Source organism: Homo sapiens, chromosome 4 (genome assembly GCF_000001405.40).
Source record: "Homo sapiens chromosome 4, GRCh38.p14 Primary Assembly".
NCBI classification, from domain to species: domain Eukaryota; kingdom Metazoa; phylum Chordata; class Mammalia; order Primates; family Hominidae; genus Homo; species Homo sapiens.
Genome location: NC_000004.12, coordinates 145,807,682 through 145,827,105, shown reverse-complemented (window position 1 = coordinate 145,827,105; position 19,424 = coordinate 145,807,682). Strand labels below are relative to the sequence as shown.

Genomic DNA, 19,424 nt, shown 5'->3' with positions numbered 1-19,424 from the left:
ATAATGCAGTAGTCCCTCCTTATCCACACAGGGAATATGTTTCAAGACCCACAGTGGTTGGCAGGGCGTGGTGGCTCATGCCTGTAATCCCAGCACTTTGGGAGGCCGAGGCAGGTGGGTCACATGAGGTCAGAAAATCGAGACCAGCCTGGCCAACAAGGCAAAATCCCATCTCTACTAAGAATACAAAAATTAGTCGGGCGTGGTGGCACACGCCTGTAATCCCAGCTACTTGGGAGGCTGAGGCTGGAGAATTGCTTGAACCCAGGAGGCGGAGGTTGCAGTGAGCCAAGATTGCGCCATTGCACTCCAGCCTGGGCAACAAGAGCAAAACTCTGTCTCAAAAAAGAAAAAAAGACCCACAGTGGTTGCCGGAAACCTCAGATAGTACTGAACCCTATATACACAATGCTTTTTCCTATGCATACATATGGTAAAGTTTAATTTATAAATTAGGCATAGTAAGAGATTAACAACAATAACTAATAATAAAATAGGACAATTATAACAATATTCTGTGTAACATTATTCTTATTCTGGATTAAGAGTTATGTGAATGTGGTCTCGCTCTCAAAATATCTTATTGTACTGTACTGTGGATAACTGAAATCACAGAAAGCCAAACCATGGGTAAGGGGGGACTACTATAATAATGGTGGCTACTCTCATAGGGTTCTTATGAGGACCAAGTGAAGTTAATACACACAAAGCACCTTAAATCAGTGCCAGATACTTAGCGTTTGTTGCTGTTTTTTATTGAGCATGTACTATGTACTGAGAACTTTAACATGAAACATCTCATTTGAACCCTTACAGCACCCCTCTAAAAGATGGCGTTGTTAAACCTCTTTTTCAGTGACGAAACTGAGGCTAGAGGGGTTATTGATTGTCCAAAGGTCCCTTAACTATGAAGTAACCAATATGAAATTCAGACTCCAATTTTTCTGATTCCAAACTCTCTGCAAAACTAGCACACTTGCTATCTCCTGGCATGAACGGATCCGAATGCAGAGCATGGCAGCTGTGTGTTTGGTCTGAGACCGATTCCCTGTTAACCTAATATCTTCTCTCTGTAGCTAAGACTTACACCAGCCTTAAGCTGCCTTGCCTTCTGAAAGTTTCTCCATTGATTCTTTGCCCGATAGAAACATTGGCAGCCCTTTTGTGCATTTTTAGTATCCAGCAGGACTCCCTTCTAATTCTCTGCTCCCTCAGAAGAAATCTTTTCTTTTCTATGCAGGATAAAGCTGGCATCCAGGGTAGAAAATTATTTTGAATGTTGTTTCCCTCGGTGATTGTCTCCCTTTCAATTCAATTTCTTCTGAGCAGCTCAGTGATAATAGGGCTCCACTCCTCACATCAGCAGGAATCCACACTTTTGAAGACAGCATGTGAAGACGCAGTGCTAGCCCATTGCCACTACTTAGCAAGACCCAGAAGACTACTTCCAGCACATAGCACAGCAGCCTCTGCTCGCTTCACCTAGAAAGCTAGGTGAAGGTTATTCTCAAATGTACCTGTGGTGTTGACCAGCCCTCTCCTTTAAACTCTTCTTCGACCTGCAAGTGTCGCTGCTGGCTGGCGACATTGGCCACCAGCATCACCACGTCCCATCTGGACTGCTGCACTGGCCACACGCCTTGTCTTCTGCAAGTCCCCCAGGCCGCACTGCCTGCTGCAGCCACATGGAGCTTTCTGAAACTGAAGTCCAGTTCCCTGACCCCCTTACTTAAGACACTGCAGTGCCCTCACTACTGTTGGGACAAAGCCATGATCACTGCACACAGGGTCCAGACTCATTTGCCTCTACCATGGGCCTTCCTCCAGCTCTGCAGGCTTTCTCACAGTGCTGGGGCCGCCTTCCCCAGCTCCTTGAAACCCTAATGACCCTACTGTCCATCCCGCCCATGGTGGCTTTTGCAGGAAGGCCCTTCCTGGGCTCCCTGGCCAGGCCCCGTGGTCACACTGTGTCCCCTCCTTCACGGCCTTAGCCACCCTTGCAGGTTATGAGATGTTTGGTAGAAAGCGACATATCTGCCCCTTCGCTTCTCCCCAATTCCTGCCTCCTACTAGCCTATAGCCAGTGTTCACTTTTTAAGCCTGTTTAAATTGTTTTGTGTTTAAGATACAAAGAAAAACCATGGCATACAAAGTTGTGTTAAATCTAGCCTAACACAGTCATGTAAAACTATATTATCTATTAATGTATGTTTTACTTTAAAGAAAGTGTCTTCCATTTTCATCTTAACATTCTCTTTTTAAAATTGAATAATAGCAACCATAGCCTTGTGGCATGTTTAGCAAAGCAGCGCTAGTCCTGGGAGTCCTAGGCTTGGTCTGTTGTTCTGCTCCAGATCTGCTGTTTTGCCCAGGGGAGTGGTGGGGGGTAGTGATCCCTCCTGGCTGCGTTTCCCTGCCTTCCAGAAGGTTCAGCCAATCAGAGGCACTGGTGAGAGGTAGGGGGAGGGGATTAAGGTAGAGCCTGGGTATTCTACCACTCCCTCTCTGTCTCCCATGGCAGCTGCATCTCCTCTGGTGCTTCGGCTCCCATGACCTGGGCTCCATTTATCTCCTCCTTTTGTCCCTCCAGCCTCAGGGTGGCAATGGCTTCCTGCCCTTCCTATCTCTGGGCTGTGTTACTACCCCCTGGAACTTCCACTGTCTGGGTACCCAGTTCCTATGGTTGAATTTCGTCTGTTGTAAATAAATAGGGCTTTCCATTTTCTAGGTTGGACACTGATGGATACTCCAGTATTCTTATATGTGATCGCAGTACTTATTCACATTTTATTTTAGAGGCCTGGAAGATGGACCCTGTGACCGAGTTAGAGTTCTCTAATTAAAAACATTCAATCCTTTGTGTTCACTGTGGTCATGGTTTTAGAGGGAACCCTGGCAGGATGTCTGGTGACCCTAGTTCTAGTTCTAGCTGAGTCACTAGGGGACCTTAGGATCACTCAGGTCAGGGCCTCTCTTTCATGTTAAATGAGGGAGCTCCCTGGGGTCCCTTCTGGCAGCCCCGTTTTCTGACTTTAACTCCATCAGAACCAACACAATTTCAAGTTGCAGTTTTCGTTTCTGTGGGGACCAGTGACATGTTTCCTTCAGTGTATTGGTCCCTGGCCCCAGCCATCTGTCTTGATGTGTGTAGTGGGTCCCTGAGGGATCAGGTGACAGAATATGGGTGAGCCAGGGCAATTCCATCTCTACCGGGAAAACCACAGACAGGCCCTTTCTGATTCTGACCCAGGCAGGGCACAACACACAGAAAGAATAGAGCAAGAGGAAAATGTACTGCACAGCTGTCCTCCTCTACGGGTTTAACAGTGTTTCAAAGATGATGTTTCATTTATTCCCCCCAAATATAAAACCCATAGGCAGAAGGTACAGCTGGCACTTGTCTGATGTAATGACTTTTCTTTTTCTCCATTTTAAGCACAATCTTCTTATATTCACTAAACACCGTTGCAAACAGCAACACCTTATCTAATATTGCGTATATATGTATTTGGGACCAGGTGCTCTGGGTGTCTTAAATAACTTTAATTTACTAAACTTCACTCCCCCTCCCCCACCCCAGCCCTTTCTTTTCAGAAGACACATTTAGACAATCACCATTCACCTCCAATTCAAAAGAACTGCTGCCCAGTGACTCCGTGCTGCACGGAAGAATATCAGCTCCAGGTATGGAAACATTGTTGGCTTTGCTTCTACTGTTGATTGCTTAAGAATTACTTTTCTGAAATGTGTGAATTTTCAGATACTTTCAGCTTACGGATGTAGTTATTCATATAAGGTTAGGTTTTAGAAAAGAAGGAGAAACTCAATTTAAGCTACAAAAGTTTATTAAAATAAAATGTTTACAGTAATAAGCCTCTTCATCTTTGCTTTAAGAGCTTATTGTTCTTTACCTGCTGATATTTCACCCACATAATGAATTTCTTTTTCTTTAAAATAATGAAGTATAACCTGAAAATAATTTGCTTTACATGTTGTATTTCAGGCCGGCAGCCAGGAATATAGGGGAGGGCAGTGGCGAAGAGTGCTAGTCCCCAGTAGGGCAGGTCATGACCCCAGGGGGTGTGGGCCACCACAAAGACCACCTCAGTTTGCATGGAAACGAGACAGCTCACTGAGGAAACCTTGCCACCCAGATTTTGTCTCTCTTCTTGGCCATAGTATCTACATATATCCATCCAGTGCTCTGTTTTGCCATCTCAGCCATCAGTACATCATTTTTTATCCGTTCTTCCTTTTTTCATTTCTCCTTTCCTGGGTAGAAGGAAGGATGTGCTTACTGTTCCTTATCCACAGCATGGCCATCCTGGAGGGCTTATGTGTGTGTTCTCAGAGTTATTGGGAAATGAGAACATCTGAGAACCGCTGCACTCTAGTTCATACTCCCTACCCATACCCACCCCGCCCACCACCAATCTAGCAGCCAGGAAACTTCTGCCAGTTGCTACCTTCCCTCCCAGCTGTGGAGAGGATCTCAGCAGCACTCGGTAGCCTCCATCCACATTCATTTGTCCAGGAAACCGTGGCCACCTGTGTGCAGGGCAGTACTCACAGCAGGGTTGTTGGCCCCGCAGCCTCTTCAAAAATAAAGTCCAAGTCTCCTCCACATACTCAAGGAGCCCTGTTTTACAGGGCACTGGAGAACTAATTAATTTGCAATGCAGAAAGAATGCAGTGACATCTGAAATATTGGCCTCGGGTATCACAGGTCATTGGAAATAGTTTGTGACAAACTGGGGTGGAGGGTGGGGGTGGGGAAGGCAACTCTTTGTCATTCTTGAGTCTCATAAGGGTAGTTCCATTTCTTCTCATCTCCCCACATTCAGCCAAAGAATCCAGATACCTGCATGCTTTTTAGCTTTGCAGGCAGGGCTTTTCTATTCAAACACCAGAAATAATGTGCTTACACAAAAACACATTACATAATGGCTGGTTCTAGAGGTGGAAAGAAATTTTGTCTAGTTTATGTCTTCATACTCAAACAGGGGTTCTTGGAACTACTGTTTACTTCCCACAGTGTCATTTTGAATAGCCATCTCCCTGGTCCCAAAATTATTGCCCTGCTGTTAAGTTGATGGATTGTGACTTTCTAATGTCAAAATAACTGCCCAGGAATTGCCTGTCAGAATGCTGTGACCCATACGGCCAGCATCCCATGATATATATACAAACCTTGCACTGCTGGCTTTATGTTTGGCTTGGCAGTATTTAAAGCAGGGTTTATTGGTCAAGTTAAAACTTGACCTAAAGAGTGATTTCATTATATGCTTAACTGTGCATCGGGGGGTTTTCCGTGATTTGCTTGATAAACTTACGTTAGACATTAGATGAACTCACACTTTAAAAGCTTAACTCTTATTTGGGGGAGAAGGTCAGCATAACTGAGATTTTTAAAATGTAAATTCGCCCTGCTGAAAGATAATCAATCTACCCTACTTCACCAAAACCTTTCTTTAGGTAGAGAAAAGCAAAATGACTACATTTACATTTTGTTAAAATAAGCAGCTAAAAAAAAAAGACTTTTTTTGTTTTAATAAGCAAGGTGAAAATGCTTTGGGAATGGAGTTAAAATTAGAAAAAAATTTAAAATGATAGGGACAACCTTGTGGTCATGAAGTTCTCATAATCTGAAGACAGTTTTGTAAGGAAGGCCTCAATAATTTGGACTAATTGTGGAGGAGAACAGCCTGAATTAATCAAAGTTAACGGTGTGGAGACTTTTAAAGAAAACTTAACTTCTTTCAAGTCTGGACAGTGATAAATGGCCATGGATAAATATACCTACTATACATTCTCAATCTCTTAATCACAATTCTGAAATCCAAAAAACCCCACCCACCAAAATTTTTTTGAATAAATATTTTGTGGCAAAACCTAATGGGAGGCTATTTATTTATTGTCTTTATTTATTACAACAAGGGGTGAAATTTATACATTTTGTTGAAGAACTATGAATGTACTTGACTATGAAGTGTTGCTTCAGGTCCACTGGGCTGTTACATAAAATAGGTTTTATGCACCATATTGTGATCCTAAAATGAGAAAGAAGTATGAATGCCAAATTACATCTGGCCCCAGGGAGTTCAGATAAATATTATGAATCTACATTTATTTTAGTAATCTGCTAAATGCAGTGCTGGGAGCAAGAACACTGAAGCTACAGTTGAGGATCTTAAAGTTCTGGAGTATAAGAGTCATGGGTTCTTATAGAACATTTCATCTGGGATAATAAGATTGGAGTGTGAAAGGAAAAAATGAAAAGAAATTTTTGAAAGACCAATCCGGCAGCAGATTAGTGAATCATTGGAGAGGATTGGGGGCAAATGACAGGAGCCTAGCTGGGATCCTCTAGTTCTAGGGCAGCTTTATTAATGAGGGCCTGAGTTAGAGAGAAAAAGAGGAGTGGGGTGGGAAAAGCAGACAGAGGATGAGTTGGCTGGTTGGAGACTGGTTAGCTTTGCTAATAAGCACGTTGAATTAGGAAATGATAGTGGCTGTGCAGAAATAGGGAAGCCAGAAAGGAGACAGCTGGCTTTAGTGACTAGGTAGAAAATAATTTGTTGTTAGTGTACAAATGAAAGCCTCAGAATCTTTAGAAATCTTCTCTTAGGTAGTTTAAACACTACCATTAAAAAACTTTCTACCTTTTATTTACTTAGCAAACGTCTTTGTTCAGCAGATAATGCAAAAATAAATGTCAGCCCAGAGAACTCTCTCAGATTCCCAATTAGTAGAGACCATAATTAATGAGATATAATGTGCCTAGTTCCATTTCCCTTGCAAATGCTGAAAATACATAGCATTATTTCAACAATATATACAACATTGGTATATAGTTATGTACCTTCTACCAATAGGAAGAAGAGTCCAGATGCCTTCAGATTAAGACCACAGGGTAAGGAAGTGCTAGAAGAGAATATCATTTAGGGTGTAACAGCTGCTGGGCCAAGGGGATCCATGGTAGCTTCAGTGTGTTGTGCTTGTGTTTCAGGCCTGTTGGAGAAGGAAGCCAGCAGTGAGGGGGATTGCAAAGTAGAGAGAGGTTGGTAGAACTGTGGACTGTGAAGAGATCGAGAATAGCACAGTTAACTAGGCATTTGCCTTCGGCAGATGGCATCTGAAACTCACAGCTGCCACCGTCCCAGAGAAACAGAATAAACACAGAGCTTCACGGTGTCCTGGCTGCGGTTGTTGCCAGTATTTCTAGACTGACTTTCCTGAGAACTAAAGAATGCTCATGTTAGCCAAGACCTAACATTTTCACTTGCTGCGAATGTCTTAGGCAGAGGTAGCATCAGGAATCTTTAATAAAATGATGAGTTAAAAACTGCTGTCACCTTCTGCGGGAGGGATGTGGGGACAGAATATCCTTAGAGCCATAAATAGATTACTGAATGTACCCTGGGTGGTGATGTTGCTGCTGGTGACTTTACAAAAGAAATAAAAGAGCTTTCCTATCATGGGGGAGATAGAAATTACAGACTACGTGAAATTTAATGTACTTTATTTAATTTATAGTTGTTTCACTTTGTGCAAGATTTACATCAATAGAAGAAAGATTCCGAGGTCAGGTGATTTTCAGGGCATGTGGGTGATTCTGTATTAAAAGCAGACCCATTGCCATTGTACCTGCAGCTGTCCCTGTTTCCCATCATCTTGCTGTAAGCAAAGGCTGTTAAGAGAAGAATTTATATCCCAGTACTGCTTTTAAACAACGTGGAGCTTCCATTCTGTGTTATTATGATTTGAAGTCACAGTATGTTTGCTCTGTATTAAGCCAAAAAACAAAAACACAACCAGGGCGGGTGTGAAGGAAAATGTGGGTCTCCGTGGAATTCTCTCCGAGTGTTTGGAGTCCCCGATGCTTCCGTGTGTTATTTCAGATGCAGCCTGGAGTGAGATAATGTAAAGCACATCTGCAATTATATTCATCAATCCCTTCCCTCATTATTTCCCCTAACTTGCATTTAAAAAAAAAAAAACTCACGTTGTTGGTTTTATTTATAATGTACAAACAAGAAAAGATGAACATCAGCACCCCTCACAAAAACAAGCTTTTTTTGGTAGGCAGGGGGAAGTTTTAGTTTCTTTCAGGACCTGCTATGCCAGTCAGAATTTGATGTTCAATCAAAAGGCTGGTTTGGAATTGCCTGCCTTGTCCTCAGTCTTGTTCTTGATCCATTTTCCCTTCTCTGGTCTGCCTATCAATCTAATATACTGTGTCATATACTTTCCTGAAATCTGAATAAATGATGCCTTGTATTAGAATGCCACCTGCAACTAGCTCTCAGCCTGACACACCCCTGGTCAGAAGTGAATGACCTCTTTAAGACCGTTGGCTTAAAAAGATACGTCTCAATGTGTGCATGTCACCTTCCTTTGTGTTAAGACTTCCCAACTCAGGCCTCGAGAGAGAGACACACGTATAAATCTATCTTGGATTATATTATAGCAAACTATTTTCTTCAGTCCATTCTCAAACACAGCAGATTCTTTTTCAATTTAGACAAAGTCATAGATAAACAATAGAACATTGGATGTTAGTGTATATCGTTTTGTAACTTGAGCTCCTTTGTGATGAGACAAATTCATTTTGTACAGAGAAAGAAGCTAGCAGTTTTCAAGGATCTATTAAATTGTCAGGCACAGGACATATGTCATCTCATTTTTAATTCTGGAAACAACTCATTGAGACATAGGAATTATCCACAATTTACAAATTACTACCTGGAGGTGTAGAGAGATTTAATAACTTGTTCAAAGTCATACAGTTGAGGAGGGGCAGCACAGGAATTCAGACCCAGAACTGCACAGCACATTTTCTCTCTTTCTGCCCTATCTTGCTGCCTGCTAAGTCAGATAATATGTCACCAGACACTGACCAAAAGGAACACACCTCCCAGTGTTGCCCACATTTACCGCAGCTGTTGGCATTTTAAGTATTACTGATGCACCGTCTTCTTTTAGCTAGAAATAAAAATTAGTCCTTTAAGTAAGATACTTGAAATAATTTATAATTACTTACTGTTGATTAACAGAATTCTAATTGTATTCTCTTCTATTTCTATCTTTCCTCTCTTCCTTTAATGCTTTGATATCTAGTAATATCATAGTCACTTGGAACATTTCTTTCAGTTAGGATGTCAGTAGTTTTTAATGGATCATCTGGTTCATAGAAATGGTTTTATGAAGCTGTGTTAAAACTCTCAGTTAGATAAAATATGTATTGCTGAGTTTAGTGATGATCTGGTCAGCAGCATAGAAGAAACATTTCTAGACTGGGAATCAGGAGAACTTGGGTTTGGTCCTAGCCCAGTTTCCTATAGAAAGAGATGAGAAGGTCTACAAGCTCCTTGCACATCCCCTGTATTAAAAGTTCTGTCATCTTGATATGGTTTAGCTCTGTGTCCCCATCCAAATCTCATCTTGAATTATAATCTCCGTGTGTTTAGATCATGGTGATGGTTTCTCCCATGCTGTTGTCGTGATAGTGAGTTCTCACGAGAGCTGATGGTTTTAAGTGTTCGGCAGTTCCTCCTTCATTCACTCACCCTTGTCTGCCTCCATATAAGATGTGCCTGCTTCCCTTTCCGCCATGATTCTGCTTCTTGAGGCCTCCCCAGCCATGCAGAGATGTGAGTCAACTAACCTCTTTTCTTCGTAAATTACCCAGTCTCTGGTAGTATTTTTATAGCAGTGTGAAAATAGACTAATACACATCTGTTATGGCACTGTAATTTTAGCCCAGACTCCTTCATTTTCTTTCTAGGGCCAAAACTATATGCTAGCACAGGAGAAAATCAGTCTAGTCTAGGGGCTTTACTGCTAAAATTCTCCCACCTACAGTGAAAGTTGGGAAAGGGAAAAGTCACCATAAGTAGTTCTTGAAAGACACAGTACTGGGGAGAGGTAGTGACTGGGATGGGGATGAGAAGGGCTTTTAGGAAGCTGGGGCATTCTCTTTCTTTATCTGATTACTCATTATGTATATAGGTAATTTTGTGAAAATTCATCAAGCTGCATACTTATGATAGTATTTCTGCATTTGTCAAGGCTAATTGCTTATTTACAAATAGGTAGGTCTAGATGCCAAGTGGACACCTTCAGGCTAATAGGAGTGCACATTTGCTTCAGACTATGACAGTGATAATGATGACAACAGTTTTTCAATTATGCCACTTCTAGTTTGCAGGAACATTTCTATTTGTAACACAAACTGGTTGCCCTAAACTAATGACATGTAGGTTGATATATCTTCTCCTGTTGCATTTCAAATCCAAAAACTATTCCACACTGCTTATGGCACTTCTTTGATGTACTTGCAGGAGATAAGCTATAGTCTGTGCAGCTGTTTACTAGAGGGAGAAAGTTTCGTAGTTATGGATTTTCTTGATCCAGACAATGTTACTTGAGGCTAAGGATTGTGTGCTCCTTGTTAGCCCCATCTGTCCCCCACCAGCCTAGTTTGGTCTTAGAGTATAGGTGTATTTCAAAGGGGAGCTGTTGACTCTATTAGAAACTAGTTGTAGAGAAAGATCTTTCATTAGGCACTGTCAGCTATGTGTCTGAGTTAGCTCTTCTCAGTAATTAACTAATTAAATTAAGTTGTCAGCCCCTATAGACCAGCATTTATAGGTTCACACACTAAAGTACACGCATACTTTTTTAAGGGTGGTAACCTTTCTAAAGGAGAAATGTGTATCCTGTTTAGATGCCTTACCTGAAGAATCTGTAGAAAGCCACAAAGATAAAGAAACAACTGTGATTGTGTGGCCACGCCCCTTTATCTCTGCCCATATGGTTTGAGTCTGCCCAGATAGGTTGAGTCACTTGGTATTAAAAATAATTATCAACACTTTCATGTTTGTGCTTTGTGGGAAATGGTAACATCCGAAAGCCCTTATAAAACCCAGATCCAAGTCAAATGTGGTGGCCCACACCTATAATCCCAGCTATTCAGGAGGCTGGGGTGGGAGGATCAGTTGAGCCCAGGAGTTTGAGACCAGCCTGGACAGCATAGCAAGACCCCATCTCAACAAAATCCAAATTCCATTTGAGGACTTTGTTTCTCAAGTATAGGTTATCCCCAGGGCTGTGGCCACTTTGGCCTTGGCCTGGTTTCTTCCTCTGAACAGAGCAAATTTATCAAATTTATATGTGCTCACATAATATTCCAAACACCCTTTATAAGGCCTCAGCAGTGCCTGTGGTTGCTTTTTTACTTTTGCAAAGACTATTTAGATGCCTCGAGAATGAATAGTGCTATAAAAGGCCAAATTCTTGAGTATGTGTAATGGATGATGGAGAGTATTTGTTTGAAAATTGCAATGCAGTGACCCTGGCTTCAGTTTGGGACTGGCTAATTCAATCTACAAGGCCTTTTCTGTATATACAATATGTTCTTCCATTCCTTTGCTATCAAAAATACATATTCTCATTTCATGCAATTTCTTCTTTGTGTTTATTTCTTTTCAGGGCAGCAACTGCCCTCTGGTAACCAGGATAGAAAAAAGAAAAGTAATTCCACTCATAAACTAGACCATCTATTTTCATTCAAACAAATCTATTCTGTATTCTCTTACCTAGGCCAAATGAGTGCCTCTCTGTGGTAAAGAAGACACTCCCACATCACACCATGGCTGTCTCCTGATGTAGTGATAGGAATGATGGTCCAGGACTTCATTTTTCATTTTCTGCTATTCTCTCTCATTCATTGTGTCTCTTAGCAAGATACTTAGCTTTTCTATTTTCACTTTATCATTCAGAAACAAAAGATGTTCACTAGAAATGCAAAAGTGTGGCCAGTGTTTGCATTCGCATGATATGAGGTTCACCACACCATCCCCAGAAGTTCCATTCAGACATCCCACATCAAGGTCCCTGGAGCTCTTTCAGTCCAAAGGGCTTCAAACTGAAGATGTCATTTCCCCTGCCTCCCACTTTCTTCATACCACTCCTCCAAAAACATCAATCAGTGAATTAAAACCCTCCTCTCCTATTTTTCTGTCTTAATAGATGGCATCATAATCATCACCCACCATGGCACACACCATAAGTTTGGACACCATTTGTTTGGATTTCCCCAGAAGCGGATTGTGAGACAAATTTGGGTGCAATTTTTGGGTTTTTTTGTTTTGTTTTGTTTCCAAGACAGAGTCTTGCTCTGTCGCCCAGGCTGGAGTGCAGTGGCACGATCTCAGCTGACTGCATCCTCCACCTCCCAGGTTCAAGGAATTCTTCTGCCTCAGCCTCCTGAGTAGCTGGGATTACAGGCGCATGCCACAACGCCCGGCAAATTTTTTTTTTTTTTTTTTTTTTGTATTTTTAGTAGAGACAGGGTTTCACCATGTTGGCCAGGCTGGTCTTGAACTCCTGACTTCAGGTGATCCGCCCGCCTCGGCCTCCCAAAGTGCTGGGATTACAGGTGCGAGCCACTGTGCCAGGCCTAGTTTTTGTTTGTTTGTTTGTTTGTTTGTTTGTTAGGAGGTGAGACCAGGAAACACTGGTAGCAAGATGGAAAAATGAGCCAAGCAAAGGAAAGCAGCCAAACAGGTTACCAATGTGGCCAACTGGAGATTAATTTCCCTGGGGACCTCTGGGACACAATGTAGGATACACACTTCAGAGTTTCCTACCTCAAGAGTGAGACAGCTGGGATGTGTATGCAGCCAGTCATCAGTTAAAGCTGCTCCCAGGAGACTTAATTCCCCCAATCTCTGGTCTACCATACATGTGGGCCAACCAGGTTTCAGTGGCCAGAGAAAGCACATAGGAAATACATGCAGGTACTGGTGGTGGGAAGTAAGGCATTGAAGCCGTGAAGGAAAAGTGATACAGGTTGAGTATCCCTTATCCAAAGTGTTTGGGATCAGAAGAGTATTTCAGATTTTAGATTTTTTTATATCTAGATAGATAGATAATTTTCATGATACTTACTGGATGAGCATCCCAAATTCAAAAATCTGAGAGCATTTCCTTTGAGCATGATGCTGGTGCTCAAAAAGCTTCGAATTCTGAGCATTTCGGATTTGGGGTTTCCGGATTTGGGAGGCTCAACCTGTAACTGGGGAGGGACATGAGGAACAACACTATCTGCTGCACCATCTTTCATTATTACCTCTTCTTCACCCTCCACTTCCATTCAGTTACCATGTCCTTCTACATCGATCCCTCCTCCTAGATCTCTCCTAACCCTAACTGCAGTAACTTTTATTCTAGTCTTCATCACTAGTTCTCTGGATTACAGTGGCCTCTGGCTGGTCTTCCTGTCTCCAGTGTCACCCCCTCAAATCCCTGCTGTCCATCCTGCAGTCCGACTATCTTTCTAGACTGCAGATCTCATCAGGCCACTGCCGGCAAGGGGGGCTTCCTGTTGTCATCAGGATAAAATCTAAACTTTGACTGATGCACATGCACTCGTAAGACTGATTATAATACGGGTCTGTTTTTGCCACAGGTTAAAATGGATCCACTTGCAAAAATAAAATGTACAATAAAGCCTTTTATAAATAGAATTGGTCTCTACCTAATGCGGTGCTCACACTGCATTAGTCCCCACTCATCCTCAGGGGATACATTCCCGGACCCCTAGTGGAGGCCTGAAAACACAGATGGTACCAAACCCTGGAAATACTATGTTTTTTCTTATACACACATACCTATGATAAAGTTTAATTTATAAATTAGGCACAGCAAGAGATTAACAATAATAATGAAATAGAACAATTTAATAACAACATACTATAATAAAAGTTATGTGAATGTGGTCCTTCTCTCAAAAGATCTTCTTGCACTATACTCACTCTTCCCGTGCTGATGTGAGATGATGAAATGTCTACATGATGAGATGAAGTGAGGTGAATGACAGCTGCTGTGACGTACTGTGAGGCTGCTACTGACCTTCTGACACTGTGTCAGAAGAAGGATCATCTGCTTTTGGTGATCCTGGATCGTGGAGCCATGATAATGTTGATAGATGTCAGGAGCAGAGGATGTCAGTGACTAATGGGCGTTTAATGGAATGCCGGACAAAGGGGTGACTCACGTCCCAGGTAGGACAGAATGGGATGGCAAGAGATTTCATCAACTTAGAACAACACGCAATTTTTTTTAACTTATGAAATGTTTATTTGTGGAATTTTCCATTTAATATTTTCACACCGCAGTTGACCGTGGGTAATGGAAATCTTAGAAAGCAAAACCACAGAGGAGGGGACGACTGTCCCATGAAGTAACTCTCCTTTTAGAATAAAATGGTTTAGGTCAGGCGTGGTGGCTCACACCTGTAATCCGAGCACTTTGGGAGGCCGAGGAGGATGGATCACCTGAGGTCAGGAGTTTGAGACCAGCCTGACCAATGCAGTGAAACCCCATCTCCACTAAAAATACAAAAGTTAGCTGGGCGTGTTGGCGTGCGCCTGTAGTCCCACCTACCCAGGAGGCTGAGACAGGAAAATCTCTTGAACCCAGGCGGCAGAGGCTGCAGTGAGCCTAGATCACGCCACTGCACTCCAGCCTGGGTGACAGAGCGAGACACCATCTCAAAAAATAAATAAATAAATAAATAAATAAATAAATAAATAAATAAATATAAAATGGTTTACCTTGACAGTAGAAAGACTGCAGGGCTATATTCGTTTTTTCACCTTAGATGCCGAGCTGATTGCCAACCACTAAAGAAACGTTAAGGCATTTCTGGAAGCAGAGAGTGGGAGATGGAGGCACAAGAAGACTTTAGATGGTTTGATGTGAGAGTCCAATACTCAACATGAAAACTGAAGACTGATTTTCTCATGTGATAATAAATCTCCCAGTCATAAAAATTCCCTCTGTCATTAGTCTCATATTAAAAAGCTTGGAGTTGGTCTGGTGCAGTGGCTCACGCCTGTAATTCCAGTACTTTGGGAGGCCAAGGCAGGCGGATCACCTGAGGTCAGGGTTTAAAGACCAGCCTGACCAACATGGTGGGATCCTGTCTCTACTAAAAAAAAAAAAAAAATGCAAAAAGTAACCAGGTGCAGTGGCACACACCTGTAGTCCCAACTACCTGGGAGGCTGAGGCAGGAGAATCGCTTGAACCCAGGAGGTGGAGGTTGCAGTGAGCTCAGACTGTGCCACTGCACTCCAGCCTGGGTGACAGAGTGAGAGTCCGTCTCAGAAAAAAAAAAGCTTGGAGTTAGTTCAAGTAGAATTTTTTTCCCATCTCTGAGCTAACAGATGTTTTAAAGAACCTTTTTTATCAAATGAGCTTCTTTTCAAGTATAAATTATTTTAGCGATGGCCAGTTTTATATTTTGATCCCAATCAGGCAAAAGTTCACATTGGAGTCTCTCATCAATACTTATGGTAAACTGTGTATGAGACAGATTTAAATTCAGGCCTAAATCACTAAGGAGTTTGGGCAGCCCATGAAAAGGATATATCTGTATTTCTTTTAAATGATTAAAAAATTGTGCGTGGTTTTTCCCTCTTGCTTGGGAAACATGTCCCACAAATCTCCTGGCACTTCCAAGGTCTTGCACATGAAGAGAGAAACAACATTCTACAGCTGTCAAGCTGCACACCTCCCTAGTTGTAGACCTCCTCACCCCTACGAGAAACAACAGAGACAGACCTTACATTTGGAAATCACCACATGTACATAGCCATTTCTGTCCTTAGCTTCCTACACTCTCAAGTGCTTTTGCATTCCATCTCCCAATCTCCTTCTCTGTGTCTACTGTGAGCCATGGTGAGGCTTACATAATGTAATACTTACATGAAATACTCTATTAAAAATATAAACCAGAAATGAGGGGCCAGGCGCAGTGGCTCACGTATAATCCTGGCACTTTGGGAGGCGAGGCAGGCCAAACATTTGAGGCCAGGAGTTTGAGACTAGCCTGACCAACATGGTGAAACCCCGTCTCTACAAAACAAACAAACAAAAATTAGCCAGGCATGGTGGTGCATGCCTGTAATCCCAGCTACTCAGGAGGCTGAGGTACGAGAATCACTTGAACCCAGGAGGCGGAGGTTGCAGTGAGCCAGGATTGTGCCACTGCACTCCAGCCTGGGCAACAGAGTGAAACCCTGACTCAAAAAAAAAAAAAAAAGCGAAATGAGTTCTCTTGGTTGCAGAGAAGTATAACACTCCATGTTAGTTTGTGAGCTGGACGTCAATGTCTCGTTCTAGGAATTTAATCTACAAATAGACTTGAACAAGTAACTTTAAGGGATATGGACAAAAATACACTTTGCAGCATAAAGACCTGAAAACAAACTAAATGCACATAGGTAGGAAACCATTTTCAATAAACCATGAATATTCAGTGGGAAACTCCACAGCCATTAAAAAAGAATGAAGGAGATCTGTAGGAATCTCTTTGAAAAAATGCCCAAGACATATTGTTAGATAAAAAAAGGAAACACTGGCTGCTGACAACATGCGTGACATGATCCCATTATGTTTTAAAAAAGAGGCAGTACATTTATGTGTACATAATAGCTTGTATATGCATGGATAATTTCTTAAACTGTGACTGGTGATTACCACTGACAAGTGGAAAGGACAGGGATTGGGAGAAGGGGACAGTAGTGAGAGGCATTCTTTTATTTTTGAGTTTATATCCTTTGTTCTATTTTTTTCATCAATTTACATTACACTTATAATTTCTAAAAGTTAAAAAAGTAAAGTGGGAAACCATTGTGTTCAAGTCACTTTTTTTTTTTAGAATTGGCCTTTACTCATATAATAATTTGGAGCCATAATGAATAATCTCTAGATCAAGTAAACTGCTAAAAATATAAAGCAATAATTCCTAGCCGTCTTCCTTCAGTAAGCTCCCCTAACCAGAAGCCAGAGTTAAATGAGTTTTTCATACAGTTTGTGAAACTATAAAGCAGGTTACAAATCCACATGAATGGTATGATTCCATGATTTGTAAAACGGTGGGCATGCAGGAAAAAAAGAGCAGAAAGAATAAATCTAGAAATGTTAGCTTTTCCTCAGTTTAGTTGGCATGTCAAGTAATTTATACTTATATTTTATGAATTTCCATTTTTATAAGAAGTATATGTTACTTTCATAATCATGTAATTGCCTGATGGGTCCTTCCTGCCTGCTGCACAGACAAAACCAATTCACTGAGACCCTGTTATTGCAGTAAAGAGTTTAATTAATGCAGGGCAGCCTAGCAGGAGGACTGGAGTTATCACTCAGATGAGTCTCCCCAGGAACTCAGAGCCCAGGTTTTTTATGGATAATTTGGTGGGCAGGGGGCTAGGGAATGGGTGCTGCTGATTGGTTGGAGATGAAATCATAGGGGTATAGAAAATGGTCCTCATGTGCTGAGTCCACCTCTGGATGGGGGCCACAGGACTGGTTGAGTCATGGGTCTGGGTGGGGTCAGTCAGTTGCCAGAATGCTGTCTGAAAAACATCTCAAAAGACCAATCTTAGATGCTACAATAGTGATGTTATCTATAGAAGCAACTGGGGAAGACACATCTTGTGACCTCTGGCCACGTGACTCCTGAGCAGTAAGGGATTATAGAAACTACACCTTCATTTTAGAATTCAGACCCTTCTCATAATCCTAGTCTTGTGGACTTTTATTAGTTTTCAGTCTGTGAGCCAGAAGGGCATTAGTTTTAGGGAGGGACTATTATCATCATTGTTTCAAAGTTAAATTATAAACTAAATTCTCCCCATGGTTAGCCTGCCCTAGGCCCAGGAAAAAGCAAAGGCAGCCAGTCTGTGAGGCCAGAAGCAAGAATGGAGTCAGCCATGCTGGACTTCTCTCACTGTCATCATCTTTGCAAAGGTGGTTTCAATCAGAAAACACCAATAAGTTAGTTTCATTTTGAACAAAGGAGAAAATATCTTTTCATACTATTCTCATACTGAATGCTTGACACCAACTCTCTCTGGAAGTTTCTATCATGAGGATATTCCTGGAGCTTTGGACAAAATCCACTTTGGCAGAACCACATTTAAATATGACGCTAGGCTGGGCACAGTGGCTCACACTTGTAATCCCAATGCTTTGGGAAGCCAAGGCAGGAGGATTGTTTGAGGCCAGGAGTTCAAGACCAGCCTGGGCAATGTAGCAAGACCCCGCCTCTGCAAAAAATTTAAAAATTAGCCATGTATGGTCGTGTATACCTGTAGTCCCAGCTACTTGGGAGGCTGAAGCAGGAGGATTGCTTGAGGCCAGGAGTTCAAGGCTGCAGTGAGCTATTAATAAGATCAAGCCACTGCACTCCAGCCTTGGTGTCAGAGAGACACTGCCTCTAAAAAATAAAATTAAAAAACAAGCAAATACATAACTGTGACTCCAGAAAAATGGTAGACCTAAAAGCAGCTAAAGTAAATGGAGATATTTTCAATGAAAATGTTGGGAAAAAATCTTGTAAAGTGGTATTTGCAAAGTAGAACTCCTCTTTAAGGTATCAAAGTGCTTCAGACTAAGGAACACTATTTGAATGTTCTGCGTTTATCTGTACCTACTACCTTCATAATTTCCCCATCCTCTGTTGTATGCACTCTACAGAACCTCTTTCCTATCGGGGCTTTCCAGTCAAAATGACTCATCCAGCTGCAGAATCTAGTTTCTCCGCCCTAAGTATCTAGGAATGAGTCACTCAAATGAGTTGCTTCTTTTTTAACTTCAATGGAATTAGGCTTGAAAGATTCATGATGGGGGAGGGTCCTGGGAAAGGGGCCTGTGCTGAGGTTATCAGGGAAATCAGCTGTATTATAGGAATGGGAAAGAGGCCAGGAAACAGGATAATGAGGGAGTGGGATAGCCTGGAGGTAGAATGATTTATAAAAAAAGATTAGATCCAAATTCTGGCTGTCTTTGTTAGAGTATGGAGGCAGGAATTAATTGGTTATGTGGATTGTAGGTAACCATTTTGTGGCAAGATGACTTAAAAGGTAAGGTGACTCATCCTAATTATTTTTTTTTTGCTCACTAATTTTCTATGTACTGTATAGTCACTTGCACCCACAGAAAAACAAGGGGAAAGTTTACTCAGGAAAAAAAAAAAAATGTGTACTCTTGCAAATGCTTTTAACATGTAGGCAAGCTTTCGGTATGTGAAAGTTATTTCTGACACAATTTTTGGTCAAATTGTTTTTCATTTTTATGAAAATGTTAATTTTTAAAGCACTCTGGTCTATCTCCCAACTGTTACTTTTATCACTCGAAAATGTGTTATTTTAAAAATATCATCACTGGTGTCATACTAAGACTTGCCATGCCTTTCATAGTAATTAATGTTTTTTGTTTTTTGTTTTTTTTTTGTTTTTGTTTTTTGTTTTTTTTTTTTAAAGCAGCCTGGCACAGTGGCTCACGCCTGTAATCCCAGCACTTTGGGAGGCCAAGGCGGGCGAATCACGAGGTCAGGAGTTCAAGACCAGCC

The 19,424-nt window shown here is 41.7% G+C and overlaps 1 protein-coding gene across 18 annotated transcripts in view, besides 4 other annotated features; it reads left to right on the top strand.

Moving 5' to 3' along the window:
- The window catches only part of ZNF827 (zinc finger protein 827), a 181,197-nt gene that overhangs the window by 111,718 nt on the left and 50,055 nt on the right, over positions 1–19,424 (top strand). For 16 of the 18 annotated variants that reach the window (XM_047449635.1, XM_017007768.3, XM_017007770.3 and 13 more), the window contains one exon: positions 3,581–3,684. In XM_047449635.1, the coding sequence (XP_047305591.1) occupies positions 3,581–3,684 (104 nt within the window). The other 2 variants (XM_017007776.3, XM_047449640.1) reach the window with 2 other exon arrangements.
- Positions 1,273–1,841: an enhancer, noted in NCBI's record as "H3K27ac-H3K4me1 hESC enhancer chr4:146746417-146746985 (GRCh37/hg19 assembly coordinates)". NCBI's record gives its function as "activates a minimal SCP1, AML or CMV promoter by ChIP-STARR-seq in primed H9 embryonic stem cells {active_cell/tissue: H9 hESC(primed)}" and the evidence as "EXISTENCE:reporter gene assay evidence [ECO:0000049][PMID:30033119]".
- Positions 2,966–3,025: an enhancer, noted in NCBI's record as "active region_21969". NCBI's record gives its function as "activates an Ori minimal core promoter by ATAC-STARR-seq in GM12878 lymphoblastoid cells {active_cell/tissue: GM12878}" and the evidence as "EXISTENCE:reporter gene assay evidence [ECO:0000049][PMID:35858748]".
- Positions 17,923–19,122: an enhancer, noted in NCBI's record as "P300/CBP strongly-dependent group 1 enhancer chr4:146729136-146730335 (GRCh37/hg19 assembly coordinates)". NCBI's record gives its function as "activates an origin of replication core promoter dependent on BRD2, BRD4, P300/CBP, MED14 and CDK7 cofactors, with strong dependence on P300/CBP, by STARR-seq in HCT116 cells {active_cell/tissue: HCT116}" and the evidence as "EXISTENCE:reporter gene assay evidence [ECO:0000049][PMID:35650434]".
- Positions 18,504–18,693: an enhancer, noted in NCBI's record as "active region_21968". NCBI's record gives its function as "activates an Ori minimal core promoter by ATAC-STARR-seq in GM12878 lymphoblastoid cells {active_cell/tissue: GM12878}" and the evidence as "EXISTENCE:reporter gene assay evidence [ECO:0000049][PMID:35858748]".